General features: G+C 51.1%; 1 pseudogene; it reads left to right on the forward strand.

The window, feature by feature from the left end:
- Positions 4,646 to 9,424, forward strand: UNC93B7 (unc-93 homolog B7 (pseudogene); annotated as a pseudogene).

Genomic DNA, 20,445 nt, shown 5'->3' on the forward strand with positions numbered 1-20,445 from the left:
ACGATGACGGTGATGGTTGCTAAACAATGTGAACGTACTTAATGTCATGAAACTGTAAACTGAAAAAGCGTGGAAACAGTAAATGTTTATACTGGCCATTCTATATGAACTAATATATATTTATAATTTTTCATATTTATACGTGGTATATTTTCTCATAATAAAAGATGAAAATTAAAGCAGTTGGATGTTTAAAAAGAAAAGAAAGAAGCGAAGAATACACACCAGCTTTCTCCTGATTAGAGGAAGAACCCCAAAACTTCTATGGACACTCACTTTTCTCTTCTTCTTCTTGCATTATTATGAGGAAATCCTTAGAGGTTGGGGAACTTGGGTGACTTTGGCTAATAAGGAGCTCTATGCCTTGAGCCCCCCAGGACACAGAATAGTAAATAGTCTGTGCCTCCAGCCCTGCAGTGTGAGGTCCAGTCCTGTGGGCTCCACAGACATCACCTGTATCAGGAGGCTCACGTCTCACCCTGTCTTCTTGCCAGCCTTGAGGACGGAGCCTGAGCCTCCATGGTGCACCACACAGGGAAGACAGTGGACCTGTTCTCCGTGGTCATGGCCCAGCAGAGAGGAAGGACAGTTCAGTGAGTGTAGGCAAAAGAAAGAGAGATCAGACTCGTACTGTGTCTACGTAGAAAGGAAAGACATAAGAGACTCCATTTTGAGAAAGACCTGTACTTTCAACAATTGCTTTGCTGAGATGTTGTTAATGTGTAGCTTTGCCCCAGCCACTTTGACCCAACCTGAAGCTCACAAAAACATGAGTTGTATGAAATCAAGGTTTAAGGGATCTAGGGCTGTGCAGGACGTGCCTTGTTAACAAGATGTTTCCAAGCAGTATACTTGGTAAAAGTCATCGCCATTCTCTAGTCTCAATAAACCAGGGGCACAATACACTGTGGAAAGCCACAGGGAGCCCTGCCCTTGAAAGCAGCGTATTGTCCAGGGTTTCTCCCCATGTGATAGTCTGAACAGTGGCCTCGTGGGAGAAGAAAGACCTGAACGTCCCCGAGCCCGACACCAGTAAAGGGTCTGGCTGAGATGGATTAGTCAAAGAGGAAAGCCTCTTGCAGTTGAGAGAGAGGAAGTCCACTGTCTCCTGCCTGCACATGGGAACTGAATGTCTCGGTTTAACACCCGATTGTACATTTGTTCAATTCTGAGATGGGGGTAAAACCGCCCTATTGTGGGAGGTGAGACACGTTTTCAGCAATGCTGCCTTGTTATTCTTTACTCCACTGAGATGTTTGGGTGGAGAGAAACTTCAATCTGGCTTGCGTACGCGTCCAGTCATAGTACCTTCCCGTGAACTTCATTATGACATAGATTCTATTGCTCACATGTTCGTTGCTGACCTTCTCCTTATTATCACCCTGTCCTCCTACTACATTCCTTTTTGCTAAAATAATAAAAATAATAATCAATAAAAACTGAGGGAACTCAGAGGTCTGTGTCAGTGCAGGTCCTTGGTATGCTGAGCGCCGGTCCTCTAGGCTCACTGTTGTTTCTCCATACTTTGTCTCTGTGTCTTATTTCTTTTCTCAGTCTCTCGTCCCACCTAACTAGAAATACCCTCAGGTGTGGGGGGACGGGCCACACCTTCAAGTGAGTGTTGAGGGACCGTCGGGAGCCTTGTTTTGTTTCCTCCTCAGGACAAACAGCAGAGTGAGCTGGGCAGATCGGAGGAGACCAATGTGCAAACTATCCTCTCAGCAGTGTGGAGTTTCTGTTCCTGGTTGTGCTGGGGTCTCAGAAATCTACTTCAAAATTTTGCTACCCTCCCCCACTGGTTGTCCTTTTCATAGACATCTCACCCACGATAGCAGGGAATGAGTCCCTCTAAACTATTCCCTCAGGAATAGTGAGAGCCAGCCCCTCTTCCCACCCTGGATCTTAGGACCCCCATCGCAGGGTGGTGAGGGACCCCCCGCGATGCTTGGAGTAAGAGCCAGCCCCTCTTCCCCCTCTGGCTCTTAGGACCCCCATCGCAGGGGGGTGAGGCACCCCCCGCGATGCGGGGAGTAAGAGCCAGCCCCTCATACCCCCCGCCGGCTCTTAGGACCCACATCGCAGGGGGAGTGAGGCACCCCCCGCGATGCGGGGAGTAAGAGCCAGCCCCTCTTCCCCCCCTGGGTTTTAGGATCCGCAGTGGACTCACAGCCTGTTTATCACATTGTGAGTAATATCATCTCCCCTCTGGAAATTATGAACTATTTCACAGACGGGTGTACACCGTCTGTATTGGTAACAATATCATCCTCGTTCTCCCTGAATATTAAGAACAGTATCACAGGGGTGTTTCTACTCCCTGCGATATTGGGTGTCATATCCTCCTCTCCCAAGTGGCAATTAGAGACAATATCAGTGGGGTCGTGTCCACCTTCTGTGATATTTAAAGTAAGATCATCCTCTTCCCTCCAGGATCATGGGAACAATATCCCTAGGGGGTGTCCACTTTCTGCGATATATGTAGTCATATCACCCCCTCCGCCTTGGAATATTACGAAGGACCATCTCACACGGGGGTGTACACTTCCTGCGATATTGGAAGTAATATCAACCTCTCTTCCTCTTAATATGAGGAAGAATATCACAGGGTGGGTGTACACCTCCTGCTCTATTATGGGGAGGCATATCTATCTATTATGGGGAGTAATATCATCCTCTCCCTTTCAGGATATTAATAACAATATCCCAGGCTGGGTGAACACAGCCTACGATGCTGGAATTATTGTCACCCTCTCCCCTTCGGGATACTAGGAACAATATCACAGAAGAGGTGTACACTCCCTGCGATATTGGGAGTAATAGCATACGCTTCTTCCGTGAATATTAGGAGCAATATCACCGGGTGGCTGTACATTCATTGCTATGTTGGCAGTCATGTCATACTCCACCCTCTGGATATTAGGATCAGTGTCACAGGGTGAGTGTACACCTACTGCGATATTAAAACTAATATCAAGTTCTCCATCCCTGGATATTAGGAACAATATCACAGGTAGGTGTACACCCCCTGCGGTATTAGGAGTAATAATATTATGAATTATTAAACATCAGTCTCATTAATGATTATAAATGGTAATATTAATTTATAGTATAACTTTATTAGTCATTAATGATTATTTTAAAGATATGATTGTGCATGATTAAAATTAATTCTTACTATTAGTGCCATTTTTAATAATATTAGTTATTAATATTAACATTAATCATTGTTTTATTACCAACATCACTTATGATGGATTTAAGTAACATTAATTACTGATATTATTATTTTACTATTAATATTGATATTGCTATTATTAATTGTAATCATGAATATTTTTAATCCACATTAAGTTTTACTGTCTCCACTGTAGTTATTAATATCAATGATTACTATTAATTGTTATTATATTTATTAATATTAATAATTAATAAAACTGTTCCCGATATCCGTGGGGGAGAGGATATTACTCCCAATATCGCAGAAAGTGTACACCCCTCTATGATGTTACTCCTAATAGCCAGTGGGTAGAGGATGACATTATGGAAAATATCGCAGTGGGTGTACATCCCTTCGGTCATCTTGTTCCTAATATCCTGGGTGGGAGCGGATGTTACGACTCCCAAAATCGCAGTGGGCGGAGACCTCCCCCGTGATACTGTTCCGAACATCCAAAGGTGGAGAGGATGATATTTCTTCCAATTTCGCCGGGGGTGCCCACCACCCCTGTGATATTGATCCTAATATCCAGGGGGCGAGAGGATATTAGTCTGAATATTGCAGGAGGTGTACACTCCCTAGGGTTATTGTTCCTAATATCCAGGGACAGAGAGGATGATATCACTCCCAATATAGCAGGGGGTGCACACCCCTTGTGTGACATTGTTCCTAATAGGCAGCGGGGGAGAAGAAGATATCACCACGAATATCGCAGGGGGTGTACACCCCCTTGTGACATTGTTCCTTCTATCCTGGGAGGGAGAGGAAGATACTAGCGGCAATGTCGCAAGGGCTGTACACACCCACTGTGATATTGTTCCGAATATCTGGAGGGGGAGAAAATGATGTTACTTCCAATATCTCAGGGGGCTTACATGCTCCTGAGATATTGTTTCTCAGGTTCAGGGGGAGAGGATGATATTACTGCCAATATCTCAGGGGTTGTACACACCTCCCGTGATGCGGGGAGTAAGAGCCAGCCCCTCTTCCCCCCCTGGCTCTTAGGACTCCCATCGCAGGGGGGTGAGGCACCCCCCGCGATGCGGGGAGTAAGAGCCAGCCCCTCTTCCACTCCTGGCTCTTAGGACCCCCATCGCAGGGGGCTGAGGCACCACCCACCATGCGGGGAGTAAGAGCCAGTTCCTCTTCCCCCACTGGCTCTTAGGACCCCCATCGCAGTGGGGTGAGGCACCCCCGCAATGCGGGGAGTAAGAGCCAGCCCCTCTTTCCCTCCCTGGCTCTTAGGACCCACATCGCAAAGGTGTGATTCACCCCCCGCGATGCGGGGAGTACAAGCCAGCCCCTCACCCCCCATGGCTCTTAGGACACCCATCGCAGGGGGGTGAGGCAACCCCCGCGATGCGGGGAGGGCTGAGACTGGGGTCCGGGCTGTTCCGGACTTCAACACTCACCCTTTGTCCCCACGCAGGGCTATGGCGTGTGCTCGGTGGGGCTGGAGCGGCTGGCTTACCTCCTCGTGGCTTACAGCCTGGACGCCTCAGTCGCCTCACTCCTGGGCCTGCTGGGCTTGTGGCTGCCACGCCCGGTTTCCCTCGTGGCTGGAGCAGGGGTGCACCTGCTGCTCACCTTCATCCTCTTTTTCTGGGCCCCTGTGTCTCGGGTCCTTCAACACAGCTGGATCCTCTGTGTGGCAGCCGCCCTTTGGGGTGTGGGCAGCACCCTGAACAAAACTGGACTCAGCAGTGAGTATAGCTGTGGGCACTGGGAGGGTGGGGCAGGGTTCTTTATGGCTATCTGTGGGTGGTTGGCTAGACATAGACATCCCAGGGACAGATATGGGGTCCTATGGTCACATAGCGTCCTGTGGACATGGCGGAGGCCGGTGGGGCTTCCTGTGGACACTCCAGGGGTGGAAGGGAAGTCTCATGGACACACTGGGGGCAGATGGGTAGGGCGTGGACACCCTGGAGACAGGTGTGGGGGTTCCACGTCATGGACATTCCGTTAATAACTCAGGGTGGGCACAGGGCCCCATCAACACTGGAGGGTCAGTGTGAAATCTCGTGGCTACACGGGGCAGGTGTGGGGCTCTGTGGACACCCCTTAGGGACAGTATGAAAAACACATCAGGGATTCTCCCTTTTCATACCAGGGGACAGAGCTTACCCTGTCATAGTTTTCGTGACACTTGGAGCATATGTTTTGGTCTCTGCCTCACGGAGCATGCGGTAGGAGCAAGTGGCCTGTTGTACATCCACGGCATAGATACAGACATGGGACTTTGTATAGAGAGGAGCAGGCCTGCAGCCCCAACCCAGTCTGCTCAGTACCAGAGTCCAGGCCCCAGGTCTGGGCTGCTGGGGAACAGGGCCCTGTTTGCAAAAGGCAGCGAGTGGGCCCATGTTCAGCTCCAGGATGCTCCCTGCCCACAGATGGGCACATGCAGTGACACACAGCTAACACACATGGGCACAGTCCTGCAGGGCATCCATGTCAGTGTCTGTTCTGATGGGCCGAAGCCATGAACAGATTTGAACGTCATCCTTGGGGGTGTGGAATGGCACAGGTCATGCCTGCTGCTGGTAGGACAGAGGCTGGCTGGGAGTCTCTGTCTGTAGCAGGGGCTGGAGCCTCATACTGCACCACAGTCTCTTGGCTGTTTTGCCCAAGGATAGCCAATTCTGGGCAGAGTCCAACCTGGGTATCTTGGACCCATGTTGTGCCCTGTCTGGTCATGGCATCCCCTTGCCCAGCTCCATATCCCATCTCCATAGGTGAACGCTGGGGGATCCTTGTCTCTTCATAGCAGCACTGTGGGGGTAAAGTCACCCTGCAGGGCCCCAAGACAGGAGTGTTCATGTCCTGAGTGTGTGGTGAAGGTGTTAATAGTGGCCCCTATGATTTGGCAGGTGCCATGCCCACTTTCTCACTTTAGAACTTCAGAACACAGCACACAATAGGCATAGGCTCATCTCACCATTGGGAAAAGCAGCTCTGGGGAGTTAAGTACCCAAATCACCCACAGAGCCAACGTTACAGTCCTGAGAACGAGTGTGCATCTTCTGACTCCCAATGCATTACTCTTGTTGCCCACCCTGGGAGGACTCACTGGAAAGGAAGCCCCCTCTCCATGCTTAGCTTCAGGTTTGATTTGCAGAGTTGGCAGCTGCAAACAGTTCGATCTCTCTAGTCCCGGCTGAGGAGGAGAAACAGCGCCTGCAAGCTTGGCACTGCACACCTGCGGTTGGGGACAGGACATGACTAAGCACAGAGCTTTCTTCTTTTGAGGCCACGCATGTGGTGCAGAGCGGGACCACCTGCATCCACACAGCCCGGCGCACCTGCTCCTACTTCTGCTTAGCGTGTGAGCAGCTTGGTGACCAGGGTCTCCACCAGGGGGCAGGCCAGGACCGGCTTACAGCACTTTCTAGGGGTTCTCTGGTCCCGGGCTGGGACACATACAGGGCTTAGTAAAGTTCATAGATGGTAGCTAGGCAGCCCCAGGCCCCAGGTGACACCTCTCCCCTGCCTGCCCTGTACTGCCTGCCTGCAGCACTCCTGGGAATCTTGTACGAAGACAAGGAGAGACAGGACTTCATCTTCACCATCTACCACTGGTGGCAGGCTGTGGCCATCTTCACCGTGTACCTGGGCTCGAGCCTGCACATGAAGGTGAGACTGGGCAGGGTTGGGGGCCCCATTCCCAATGACAGGTATTTCCTTAGCCCCTGCCCTGGCTTCACAGCTTCCTAAACGCCACCCCTTCCCAAGCCAGTCTCTGGGCCAAGGCCCCATTCCTGCAGCCCACTGGGTGGCCCCCAACTCAGCACCCCACTTACTGGACCACCTCCAGCCAGTCTCAGTTTGCCCATCTCTGAGGGGATTTGTGGGTGCATCACAGCCATCCTGTGGGCTGTTTGGTACCCGGTTGTCCAGATGTTGCGTCTGTCTCCCTTCATGGCCTGAACGGGAGCAAGCTACTCATGCTCTGCTCCCAAAAGATGGTGGCCGGTCTAGCAAGTCCCAGTTGCTAAACATTTTTTAAAAATAGAACTAAAGGCCGGGCACGGTGGCTCACTCCTGTAATCCCAGCACTTTGTGAGGCCGAGGCGAGTGGATTGCCTGAGGTAGGGAGTTTGAAACCAGCCTGACCGACATGCTGAAACCTCGTCTCTTCTAAAAATACAAAAATTAGCCGGGCGTGGTGGCAGGTGGCTGCTACTCGGGAGGCTGAGGCAGGAGAATCGCTTGAACTGGGAGGCGGAGGTTGCAGTTAGCCGAGACGGGGCCTTGGCACTCCATCCAGCCTAAGCAACAAGAGCGAAAATCTGTCTCAAAATAAAAATAAAAATAAAAATAGAACTAAAAATAGCAGGGAGTGGGCCGGGAGCAGTGGCTCATGCCTGTAATCCCAGCATTTTGAGACGCTGAGGTGGGGGTATCACCTGAGATCTGGAGTTTGAGACCGGCCTGGGTAACAGGCTGTGAAACCCTGTCTCTACTAAAAACACAAAAATTAGCTGGGCATGGTGGCACGTCCCTGTGATCCCAGCTTCTCTGGAGGCTGAGGCACAAGAATGGCTTGAACCTGGGAGATGGAGGTTGCAGTGAGCCAAGATTGTGCCACCGCACTTCAGCCTGGAGGACAGAGCGAGACTCTGTCTCCCAAAAAAAAAAGAAAAAAAGAAAAAAGAAAAGCAGTGAGTGGGCTGGGCATGGTGGCTCACGCCTGTAATCCCAACACTTTGGGAGGCTGAGGCAGGAGGATTGCTTGAGGCCAGGAGTTCAAGACCAGCCTGGGCAACATAGGAGACCCTGTCTCTACAAGAAATTTAAAAATTAGCTGGGTGTGGTGGCGCGTGCGTGTAGTTCCAGCTGCTTGGGAGACTGAGGTGGGAGGATGGCTTGAGCCTGGAAGATTGAGGCTGAAGTGAGCGTGCCACTGCGCTCCAGCAGTGGTTGGGGGAAGGGAGGGAGGGGGCGCAGTGGGGAAACGGAGCGACCGTGTCTGGAAAAAAGAAAAGAGCAGGAAGTATGCATACAGATATGTGTGTATGTACTGAGCTATGGTGTGAAATCATTCCTGACTGCGGGTTATAGTCAAATCCCCATGAAGAGAATCACTACAGCCCACGGGTGTGTCAGGGACACAGTGTTGTGAGCCCTGGGAAGGCAGGGCCTGTGGCCAGCACTTTATCAACACTGGCACATGCACCCTATGAGGCAAAGGGATTTGCATTGTCCCCGTACAGAGTGGGACACTGAGGTCGCCAGGGGCATGGCGACTGTAAGGGACAGTGCTGGATGTGAGCCTCGCCTGCAGGAGGCGGTCCAGGAAGCGTGGGTGGAGCGGCTGGAGAAGTTGAGGGTCGCGTGGCCCGGGAGGCTCCCGGAGGAGGGAAGGGCCTATCTCAGCGAGGGGCATAGGCGGGGAAGGTGCGGGGCGAGGCGGCCGCGGGTCCCTGGCATCCCTCTCCGTACACCCAGGCTAAGCTGGCGGTGCTGCTTGTGACGCTGGTGGCCGCCGCGGTCTCCTACCTGCGGATGCAGCAGAAGCTGCGGCGGGGCGTGGCCCCGCGCCAGCCCTGCATCCCGCGGCCCCAGCACAAGGTGCGCGGTTACCGCTACTTGGAGGAGGACAACTCGGACGAGAGCGACGCGGAGGGCGAGCATGGGGACGGCGCGGAGGAGGAGGCGCCGCCCCCGGTGCCCAGGCCTGGCCCCAAGCCCGCTGGACTCGGCCGCCGGCCCTGCCCCTACGAACAGGCGCAGGGGGGCGACGGGCCGGAGGAGCAGTGAGGGGCCGCCTGGTTCCCGGACTCAGCCTCCCTCCTCGCCGGCCTCAGTTTACCACGTCTTAGGTCGGGGGGACCCCCTCCGAGTCCCGTGCTGTCTTCAAAGGCCCCAGTCTCTCCTCCCCCACGTTGGGGACGCCCCTCCCAGAGCCCGGGTCACCTCCGGGCTTCCGAAGCCCCCTCTAAGGCGGAGTGGAGCCTTGGGAACCCCTCGGCCAAGCACAGTGGTTCGAAAATACAGCTGAAACCCTGCGGGCCCTTAGCAGGCGCCCCAGCGCCGGAGCAGGGTCAGGGTCTTCTTGCGACCCGGCCCCGCTCCAGATCCCCCCAGCTCTCGGCCTCGGACCCGGGCCGCGTGTGAGCGCGCTTTGCACCTCCTATCCCCAGGGTCCGCCGAGAGCCACGATTTTTTACAGAAAATGAGCAATAAAGAGATTTTGTACCGTCCTGACTGGGGAGTCCCAGGCCGCGTGGGACGGAGCGCCCCTCGGATGCAAGCCCGTCTGTCCCAGCCTCTGGGCGCGGTGGTGACAGGCCCTGACCTAGAGGGACCGCGGGGTGTGGGGAGTGCGGAGCCCTACTGGGGCGGGGCGAGGTGTCCGTAGGCCCCGCCCACCAGCCCTTCCTCCCTCCTGAGGCCCCGCCCCCCATACCTGCCTGCCTTTGCCAGCCCCAGCCAGGAGAAGGGAGTGGCGGAGCGGCTGGCAGAGACAGAGGAGGGTGTGACGGCGTTGCTGGCCCCCCATGGGTCCAGAGGGCGAGACAGACTCTGGATTCACACCCTCCACGTGCCTGTGTAGGCATCCTCGGCCCTCCAGCGACCACCCCCACGTCGGACAGGGTCCACTTCCAAGCCACGGTGGGGTCACCCTGTGCCCAGTAGGGGCCTTGGAAGTGGTGGTTGGAGGCCAGGTACGCTCGGTTACTACCCTTTCCCGGCTACAGCCTCAGCTGCGATGCCCACGAGAAACAGGCTGGTGGAGGGGCAGACCCCCTACAAGACCTGAAGGTGCCGTTCCTCCACCCGCTCTTCTTGTGGCCAGAGGAGAGGGACACCCCCGCCATGAAGAGCTCTGAACAGTTGGGTGAGGACAAGTGGGGGCCGTGGGAGGGCCATGGAGCCCCCAGCTGCACCCCAGCAGGCCCGGGGCTGGCCCACACCATTCCTCACTCCCCACAGCCTCTCTTCCCCTGACTTTGGCGAGACCCTCGTCCGTACCTCCAGGCTCCATGCCTGCCTCAGCATAGCTCTATGGATTCTCCCAGCCCTAAACTGGCCCCATCTCTCCTCTCTGCCCTCATGTGAGTTTGGTTCTTGAAGCCTCTAGTGGGCCCTGGGGCCAGACTCTGTGGCCTTGGACAGGGAGTCTCCCATATGAGCCACAGGTTCCTTCTCTGTTGAGTGTGTGAGGGAACATGTTGGAGCCCTTAGTGTGGTGGCTGCAAGCACCCCAGGCCCTGTAAGAAACACAAAAGGGTGCGGTGGGAGACTTGACATTTTCTAAATCTGGGAGGGAACGCTGCCTTCCTCACGCCGACCTTCAGTGAAAAGCAGACTCAGAAGCGGTCCCGAGGTGCCACCGTAAGCTGGGTGAAGGCCAGCACTGTGTGCTTCCAGTTCCCCCTCAGCATCTGTAGATTGAGTGTTCTCTGGAGGTGGCTGGCGACATCCTCCTGGCAGCTTCCAGCAAAACCAGTCGGAGTTGGGCAAACTGAAGCTCGGATGATTCACCTCTGAATGGAGGGCAAGGTGATATTTGGAAGGGTGTTGGCCCCTGGGATGCTGGGCAAACGGGGAGCGGGTGCCTGGATAGTGGGCCTACAGCTCTTCCCAGTTCTGAGTCAATTCCATTGTCCATGGTGCCAAGGAACAGAGGCTCTGATGTTGAGCAGACTTGAAGGTGATCCAGGCACATAGAGTGGCCACTCGGGGGTTTGGCTCCTGGCTGTGCTCTTCCTACCTGGGCATTTCCCATGAGAAGGCTTCACAGGCCACCTGGCTGCTCCTGGCACATGGAGAATGCCCAGATGGTGACATGTGCCAGACAACACATATTTGCACCTGATAGGCCACACACATGCAACATGCAAACACACGTGGCGGGTAACACCTGTGACAGACACTACATGACAACGCACGTGCACACATGATGGGAAACACATATCACAGGCCGTGCAACAGGAAACACACATCACAGGCTGTGCGACGGGAAACACAGCGCAGGCAGTGCGACGGGCCCTGGCAGCAAGCTCAGCAGGCTGGCTCTTTTCGAGCAGGAGAAGAGCTCATTGTAAGAGATGACACTGGCGTAGGTGGCACCTCCCCTGTCTCCATCACCCTCGGATAAGGTGACTGGGTGGAGGTTCTGGACCACTGAGTGGACGAGCAGGTTGTGTCATGGCCTCCGTGTCTGATTGCCACCCTCGCTCCCAAAGCAACTCTGTGATTTTGTCGATCTGCACTGTGGGGATGTTTCTTTTTCTTTTCTTTTTTTTTTTTTTTTTTCGCAACGGAGTTTCACTCTTGTTACCCAAGCTGGAGTGCAATGGCGTGAACTCAGCTCACTGCAACCTCCGTCCCCTGGGTTCAAGCGATTCTCCTACCTCAGCCTCCCGAGTAGTGGGGATTACAGGCGCCCACCACCAAGCCAGGCTAATTTTTTTGTATTTTTAGTAGAGACGAAGTTTCACCATGTTGGCCAAGCTGGTCTCAAACTCCTGACCTCAGGTGATCCACCTGCCTCGGCATCCCAAAGTGCTGGAATTACAGACGTGAGCCATCACGCCCGGCTGTGATTTTTCAATTATGTGATTCCAAGAATCTCCAGTCCAAGATTTTCCCTATCTTTAAGTTCTCAGTAGCAGGTTAGATAACCTGAGAAGTCTCCCTCTTCAAGACACCTAGAAATGCTGGGTAAGAAACAAATGTCCTTTTAACTATAGAGCTGAGGCTGGGCATGGTGGTTCACGCCTGTAATTCCAGCACATTGGGAGGCTGAGGCGGGTGGATCACCTGAGGCCAGGAGTTCGAGACCAGCCTGGCCAATGGTGAAACCCCATCTCTACTAAAAATACAAAAATCAGCCAGGAGTGGTGGCAGGCGCTTGTAGTCTCAGCTACTTAGGAGACTGAAGCAGGAGAATCGCTTGAAGCCGGAAGGCAGAAGTTGCAGTGAGCCAAGATCACGCCATTACACTCCAGCCTGGGCAAAAGAGCAAAACTCCATCTCAAAAAATATATAAATAAAATAAAATAAAATAAAATAAATATATAGCTGAGTTCTTCAGAAAATAAGTTAAGTCCCCTAAGGCCAGAAGTGAAGAGGGGAATGAGAACCAAGGTGGGGACAGAGGAGCTGGTGTTGCAACTGCCTGAGGGCAGGGCTGGGTTGAGCATTGGAAACCCTTACAAGGCAGGTGGTCAGGGTTACAGTCAAGCATGATGAATTTGGGACCACAGAAATGCAACACCTTTAGAGAAAGGGACAGAAACATTTCCACCCAGGGGAACAGAGAGAGGTGAGAAAATTTGAGCTTTAGGTGGTGAACAAGTTTCCCATGAGATCGTTGCATTTTCAGGCCTCTCTTATATAAATGTGGAACTCCTACAATGAAGTCATGCTACCTGTGTGGTCTAGGAATGCCAGAGTTGAGAAACTAACACTAAAAAGTTGCTTTGGGCCCGGTGTGGTGGCTCACGCCTTTAATCCCAGCACTTTGGAAGGCTGAGGCAGGTGAATCACCTGACGTCAGGAGTTCGAGACCAGCCTGGCCAACATGGTGAAACCTCGTCTCCACTAAAAATACAAAAAATTAACCACATCTTCTGTGCCTGTAATCCCAGCTACTCAGGAGGCTGAGGCAGGAGAATAGCTTGAACCTGGGAGGCAGAGGTTGCAGTGAGCTGAGATTGCACCGCTGCACTCCAGCCTGGGCAATAAGAGTGAAACTCTGTCTCAAAAAAAAAAGTTGCCTTGGCTTAGTGGTACCCTGGGGCCCCTGGAAAAGCCAAATAGAAAACCTCTCTAGGTGGCTCCCTCAAATCTGGCCACCCAGGATTCCCCACATAAAGCCCCTCTGAAGCTGAGCTCACGATCCAAAATTACAGAACACACAGGAAACACATCACCGCGAGAAAAGGCAACAGACATACAAAAGAGCAGGATTCGACACCCGCTCCAAATACCCCCAGCTAGGAGAGAGAAGCTGTCCAACAGGTATGTGAGATAGGCAGCTTCTATAAGGGCTGCCAGCGATCTCCCACCCTTGACTCTTCACAACTTTGTGTAATTTCCATCCCTTGATTGCGGGCTGGACCTAGTGATTTTCTTTTAACCAACTGAATTCTTATTTTACTTATTTTATTTTATTTTATTTTATTTTTATTTTATTTTATTTTATTTTATTTTATTTTACTTAGAGATAGAGTTGCACTGTACTGTCCATTCTAGGCTGAAACTCCTGGCCTTAAGCAGTCTTCCTGCCTCGGCCTCCCAAAGTGCCAAGATTATAAGCATGAGCCACTGCGCCCAGCAGCCTTCGCATTTATTTATTTTTGAGACTCGCTGTATCGCCCAGGCTGGAGTGCAATGGCACGATCTCGGCTCACTGCAACCTCCACCTCCCAGGTTCAAGCGATTCTCCTACCTCAGGCTTCCAAGTAGCTGAGATTACAGGCGCCTACCACCACGCCTGGCTAATTTTTGTATTTTTAGTAGAGACTGGGTTTCACCATGTTGGCCAGGCTGGTCTCGAACTCCTGGCCTCAGGTGATCTGCCCGCCTCGGCCTCCCAAAGTGCTGGGATTACAGGCGTGAGCCACTGAACCTGGCTAACCAACTGAATGCTAAACTGGCCTGAGAGATTCTCACTCCCTGGTGTCTACACCCCGCTAATGCCCTCCTGTGAGTGAATGTGATGGGCTACAGTACTTTTGAGCTAATCAAATGGGATGGTACCTAATGGACCTGAACCAGTCAGGCAAGTCTTTTAAAAGAAAGGGACATGGCAGAGAGGCGCTCTTCTGCAGGCTTGGAGTAGGGCAAGTGGCCATGGGCCACCTACAAGGGGGCCCCTGGGAGCCGAGAGTGGTCCCCGATGGCAGCTTGCAAGAAAACAAGGACTTCAGTGCCCCAACGTCGGGAACAGCCCTTCTCCCCCGCTGGCTCTTAGGACCCCCATCGCAGGGGGTGAGGCACCCCCCGCGATGCGGGGAGTAAGAGCCAGCCCCTCTTCCCCCCCTGGTTTTTAGGATCCGCGGTGGACTCAGCCTGTTTACCATATTGTGAGCAATATCATCTCCCCCTCTGGAGATTATGAACTGTTTCACAGACGGGTGTACACCCTCGGTGTACAGAGGGTGTACACCCGTCTGTATTGGGAGTAATATCATCCTCTTCCTCCCTGAATATTAAGAAGAGTATCACAGGGGTGTTTCCACTCCCTCGGTTATCGCGTGTCATAACCTCCTCTCCCACGTGGCAATTAGAAACATTATCGGTGGGGGCGTGTCCACCTTCTGTGATATTGAAAGTAATATCATCCTCTTCCCTCCAGGATCATGGGAAAAATATCCCTGGGGGGTGTCCACTTTCTGCCATATAGGTAGTCATATCACCCCCTCAGCCTTGGAATATTATGAAGGACCATCTCACACGGGGGTGTATACTTCCTGCGATATTGGGAGTAATATCAACCTCTCGGCCTCTGAATATTAGGAAGAATATCACAGGGTGGGTGTACACCTCGTGCTCTATTATGGGGAGTCATATCTATCTATTATGGGGAGTAATATCATCCTCTCCCTTTCAGGATATTAATAACAATATCCCAGGCTGGGTGAACACAGCCTGCGATGCTGGAATTATTATCACCCTCTCTCCCTCGGGATACTAGGAAGAATATCACAGAAGAGGTGTACACTCCCTGCGATATTGGGAGTAATTTCATACGCTTCTTCCGTGAATATTAGGAGCGATATCACCGCGTGGCTGTACCTTGATTGCTATGTTGGCAGTCATGTCATACTCTACCCGCTGGGTATTAGGATGGGTGTCACAGGGTGAGCGTAGACCTACTGCAGTATGAAAACTAATATCATGCTCTCCATCCCTGGATATTAGGAACAATATCACAGGTAGGTGTACACCCCCTGTGGTATTAGCAGTAATAATATTCTGAATTATTAAACATCAGTCTTATAAATAATCAATGGTAATATTAATTAACAGTATAACGTTATTAATCATTAGTGATTATTTTCTAGATATGATTATGCATATTAAAATTAATTATTAATATTAATGTCACTTTTAATATTAGTTATTAATCTTAATATTAATTATTGCTTTATTACCAACTTCACTTATGATTGATTGAAGTAACATTAGTGATACCACTATTTTATTATTAATAGTGATATTGCTATTATTAATAGTAACCATTAATATTTTTCATCCGTACTGTTTTAATGTCTCTACTGTAATTATTAATATTGATGATTACTATTAATTGTTATTATATCTATTAATATTAATAATTAATAGAACTGTTCCCGATATCCGTGGGGGAGAGAATATTACTCCCAATATCGCAGAAAGTGTATACCCCTCTATGATGTTACTCCTAATAGCCGGGGGGTAGAGGATGATATTATTGAAAATAGCGCAGTGGGTGTACATCCCTTCGGTTATCTTGTTCCTAATATCCTGGGTGGGAGCGGATGATATGACTCCCAATATCGCAGGGGGCGGAGACCTCCCCCGTGATACTGTCCCTAACATCCAAAGGTGGAGAGGATGATATTTCTTCCAATTTCGCCGGGGGTGCACACCAACCTTGTGATATTGATCCTAATATCCAGGGGGAGAGAGGATGGTATTAGTTTGAATATTGCAGGATGTGTACACTCCCTAGTGATATTGTTCCTAATATCCAGGGACGGAGAGGATGATATCACTCCCAATATAGCCGGGGTTGTACACCCCTTGTGTGACATTGCTCCTAAAGGGCAGCGGGGGAGAGGAAGATATTACAGCCAATATCGCAGGGGGTGTACACCCTCTTGTGACATTCCTCCTTCTATCCTGGGAAGGAGAGGAAGATACTAGCGGCAATGTTGCAGGGGCTGTACACACCCACTGTGATATTGTTCCGAATATCCGGAGGGGGAGAAAATGATGTTACTTCCAATATCGCAGGGGGTGTACATCCTCCTGTGATATTGTTTCTTATATTCAGGGGGAGAGGATGATATTACTCCCAATATCACAGGGGTTGTACACACCTCCTGCGATGCGGGGAGTAAGAGTCAGCCCCTCTCCCCCACTGGCTCTTAGGAGCCCCATCGCAGGGGGTTGAGGCCCCACCCCGGGTACGGGGAGTAAGAGCCAGCCCCTATCCCCCCTGGCTCTTAGGACCCCCATCGCAAGGGGGTGAGGCCCCCGCTATGCGGGCAGTCATATCACCCCCCTCTGGATATGACGATTCACGTCGCAGGGGGGCGGGCGCCCCCCGCGATGCGGGGAGTCATATCACTCCCCCCCTGGATATGAAGATCTACAGTGGTCACACAGCGTGTTCACGTTATTGTCAGTAATATCTTCTCCGCCTCTGGAAATTACCAACTATGTCACAGACGAGTGCACATCCTCTGCGCTCTTTGGAGTAATAGCATCCTCTTTCCCCTTGATATTAAGAACAATATCACAGGAGTGTTTTTACCCCTAGGGGCATTCCGTGTAGTATCATCCTCTCCCACGTTGAAATTAGGGACAATATTACTGGGAGCGTGTCCACCCCGTGCGATATTGAAAGTAACATCATCCTCTTCTCTCCTGGATCATGGGAACCATATCACTGGGGTTGTGTACACTTTCTGCGGTATTGGGAGTAAGATCATCCTCTCTGCCTTGGAATATTAAGAACCATATCACAGTGGGGTTGTACACACCCTGTGCTGTGAAGAAGAGTATTATCATCCCCTGCCCTGCACACTGGAAAAAATATCACAGAGTGGGTGTACACCTCCTGCGATGGGGGTGGTGATATCATCTTCTCTTCTTCTGGATAATAGCAACAATAGTACACGGGTTTGTACACTTTCTGTGATATTGGGAGTAATATCAACCTCTCCACCTTTGAATATTAAGAACAATATCACAGACTGGATGTACACCCCCTGCGATATTGGGAGTCATATCAGCCTCTCCTCTCCATGGATATTAGGAATAGTATCCCAGGATGGGTGTACACCTCCTGCTGTATGGGGAGTCATATCGTCCTGTCACTTCCTGGCTGCTAGGAACAATATCAGAGGGTGGGTGTACACAGCCTGCGATATTGCAAGTACTAGCACCCTCTCCCCCTCCGGATATTAGGAACAATGTCACGGAAGGGTTGTACACTTCCTGAGATACTGGGAGTAATAGCATTCTCTTCTTCCGGGAATATTAGGAGGAATATCACCGGGTGGATGCACACCCACTATCTTGGGAGTAACGTCATACGCCACCCCCTGGAGATGATATTCGGATCAATATCACCGGGTGGGGGTACACCTACTGCGATATTGAACGTCATGTCATGCTCTCTCCCTCCCTGGACTTTAGGAACAATATCACAGGTGGGTGTACACCCACTGAGGTATTAGGGATAATATTCTTATTAATTCTTCCTCATTTATTAGCATGAATATGTATTACCAATATTAATATTAATATTAAGAAATCATTGCTAAAAATAGTGTTCAGATTATTAAAATTAATGTTAATTATTAGGAGCTAATATGACAGTTTTCTAATGAATAAGATCAATATCACTCTTTAAGACCAGGAGTCATTAATCATTAATATTCATCATTTATTGTTAATGTGAGTATAACTCTTTAATATGAATTATCATTATTATCGGTATTGATTTTAAGAATTATATGATCAGTTATTAATATTGACAATTATCAGTATCAATTAATAATTGAGATTATTAATTGTGGTAAGTAACATTGCGCCATTCCACCCCTTCCTCGGCAGCTCGTTTACGACCCAAAACGGGGATCCAAATGCCCCTGAGAGAGCAGCGGCATACTGGGAGAGAGGAGGATGCTCACGTGGTGGAGAGGCGTGTTTTTGTGTAAAAGCGCTTCACCTCTGCCGACCTTCTCAACCGGGAAAACAATACGCCGTCCTAGAGCGAAAAGCCGCAAGCCCTAATTGATTTGCTCCAAACTGTTATCCAGACCCACAACCCCACCTGGGCTGATCGTCACCGGTTGCTCATGTTACTCTTTAAGAGAGATGAAAGGCGAAAGGCGGAGAGGGCTCCAAGCAGCAAGTAAGTGGCTAGAGGAACATGCACCAGCTGATTATCAAAACCCCCAAGAGTATGGAAGGACCCAGTTACCAGGAAACCACCCCCAGTTGGGCCCACATGAAAGAGAGGATATGCAAAGGCTAAACCGAGACAGGGAAGCGCTCTTGGAAGGATTCAAGAGGGGAGCTCAGAAGGCCACAAACGTTAACAAGGTCTCTGAGGTCATTCAGGGAAAAGAAGAAAGTCCAGCACAATTTTACCAGAGACTGTGAGGCCTATGATATGTATACTCCCCTTGATCCCAATAACCCTGAAAATCAGCGCATGATTCACATGGCTTTAGTCTGTCAAAGAGCGGAAGACGTTAGAAGAAAACTGCAGAAGCAGGCTGGGCTTGCAGGGATGAATACATAACCTTGATGAGAAATAGCTAAGCAGGTGTTTGTAAACAGGGATGCAGTAAGCCGCGAGGGAAAGCGCAAAGAGAATGAAGGTCAGGCCTGGTGAAACGCTGACCTGTTTGTTAGCTGCAGTAATCAGAGCTGTCCCCCCAAAGAAGCAAGGGAAGGGGGGCCTTGGGAAAGAAACTCAGCTTGGCTGTCCGAGTTTGCAGCGTAACCAGTGTGCTTATTGTAAAGAAATAGGACAGTGGAAGAACAAATGCCTTCAGCTCAAAAGAAAACAAGGTGACTTAGAGCAGGAGGCCCCGGACAAGGAGGAAGGGGCCCGGCTCAACATGGCAGAAGGGTTATTGGACTGAGGGAGACCGGGCTAAAGTGTCCCCAAAGAGCCTCTGGTCAGAATGACAGTCGAGGGTGGAGACATTGATTTTCTTGTAGATACCGGTGCTGAACATTCGCTAGTAACTGCCCTGGTCGCCCCCTTATCCAGAAAGACTATTAACGTCACCGGAGCCACGGGGGTTTCAGCAAAGCAAGCTTTCTGCTTGCCTGGGACTTGCAGTGTAGGAGGACATCAAGTGATTCATCAGTTTTTGTACATGCCTGACTGTCCCTTGCCCTTGTTGGGAAGGGACTTGCTTAGCAAGCTGAGAGCTGCTCTCTCTTTGACAGAACACAGCTCTTTGCTGCTAAAGTTACCCGCCACGGGAGTCATTATGACCCTTACCGTCCCCCGAGAGGAGGAATGAAGACTTTTGTGAACTGAGCCGGGCCAAGAGAGAAGACCAGCTCTGGCTAAGCGGTGGCCAAGAGTACGGGCAGAAGACAACCCTCCAGGATTGGCCAGTTAAGACTGGGGCCCAGCCGCTTAGGCAAAAACAGGACCCGGTCCCCAGAGAAGCTCTTCAAGGTATCCAGGTCCATCTTAAGCACCTAAGAACTTTTGGTATGATAGTTCCTTGTCAGTCTCCACGGTATACTCCCCTCCTGCCTGTTCCCAAGCCATGGACCAAGGACTACAGGCCGGGACAGGATTCGCGCTTGCTTAGTCAAGCTATCCTGACATTCCATCCAACAGTACCTAGCCCATCCACATTGTTGGGGTTGCTGCCAGCTGACGACAGCTGGTTCACCTGCTTGGACCTGAGAGACGCTTTCTTTCCTATCAGATTAGCCCCTGAGAGCCAGAAGCTGTTTGCCTTTCAGTGGAAAGATCCGGAGTCAGGTGTCACTACTCAGTACACTTGGACCGGGCTTCCCAAAGGGTTCAAGAACTCCCCCACCATCTTCGGTGAGGCGTTGGCTCGAGACCTCCAGAAGTTTCCCACCAGAGACATAGGCTGCGAGTTGCTCCGCTAGGTGGATGAGCTTTTGCTGGGACATCCCACGGAAGTCGGGTGCGCCAAGGGAACGGATTACCCTACGTCGACACCTGGAGGACTGTGGGTGTAAGGTGTCCAAGAAGAAAGCTCAGATCTGCCGACAGCAGGTGCGTTCCTTGGGATTTACTATCCGACAGGGGGAACGCAGCCCGGGATCAGAAAGAAAGCAGGTCATTTGCAATCTAGCAGAGACTAAGAGCAGAAGGCAGGTGAGAGAATTCTCAGGAGCTGTGGGGTTTTGTAGACTGCGGATCCCAAACTTTGCAGTATTAGCCAAGACTTTTTATGAGGTCACCAAGGGGGCGGGGACCGGGAACTTTTTGAATGGGGATCCCAACAACAGCAAGTCTTTCATGAGTTAAAGGAGAAACTTATGTCAGC

This window comes from Homo sapiens, chromosome 4 (genome assembly GCF_000001405.40).
Source record: "Homo sapiens chromosome 4, GRCh38.p14 Primary Assembly".
In the NCBI taxonomy this organism is placed as follows: Eukaryota; Metazoa; Chordata; class Mammalia; order Primates; family Hominidae; genus Homo; species Homo sapiens.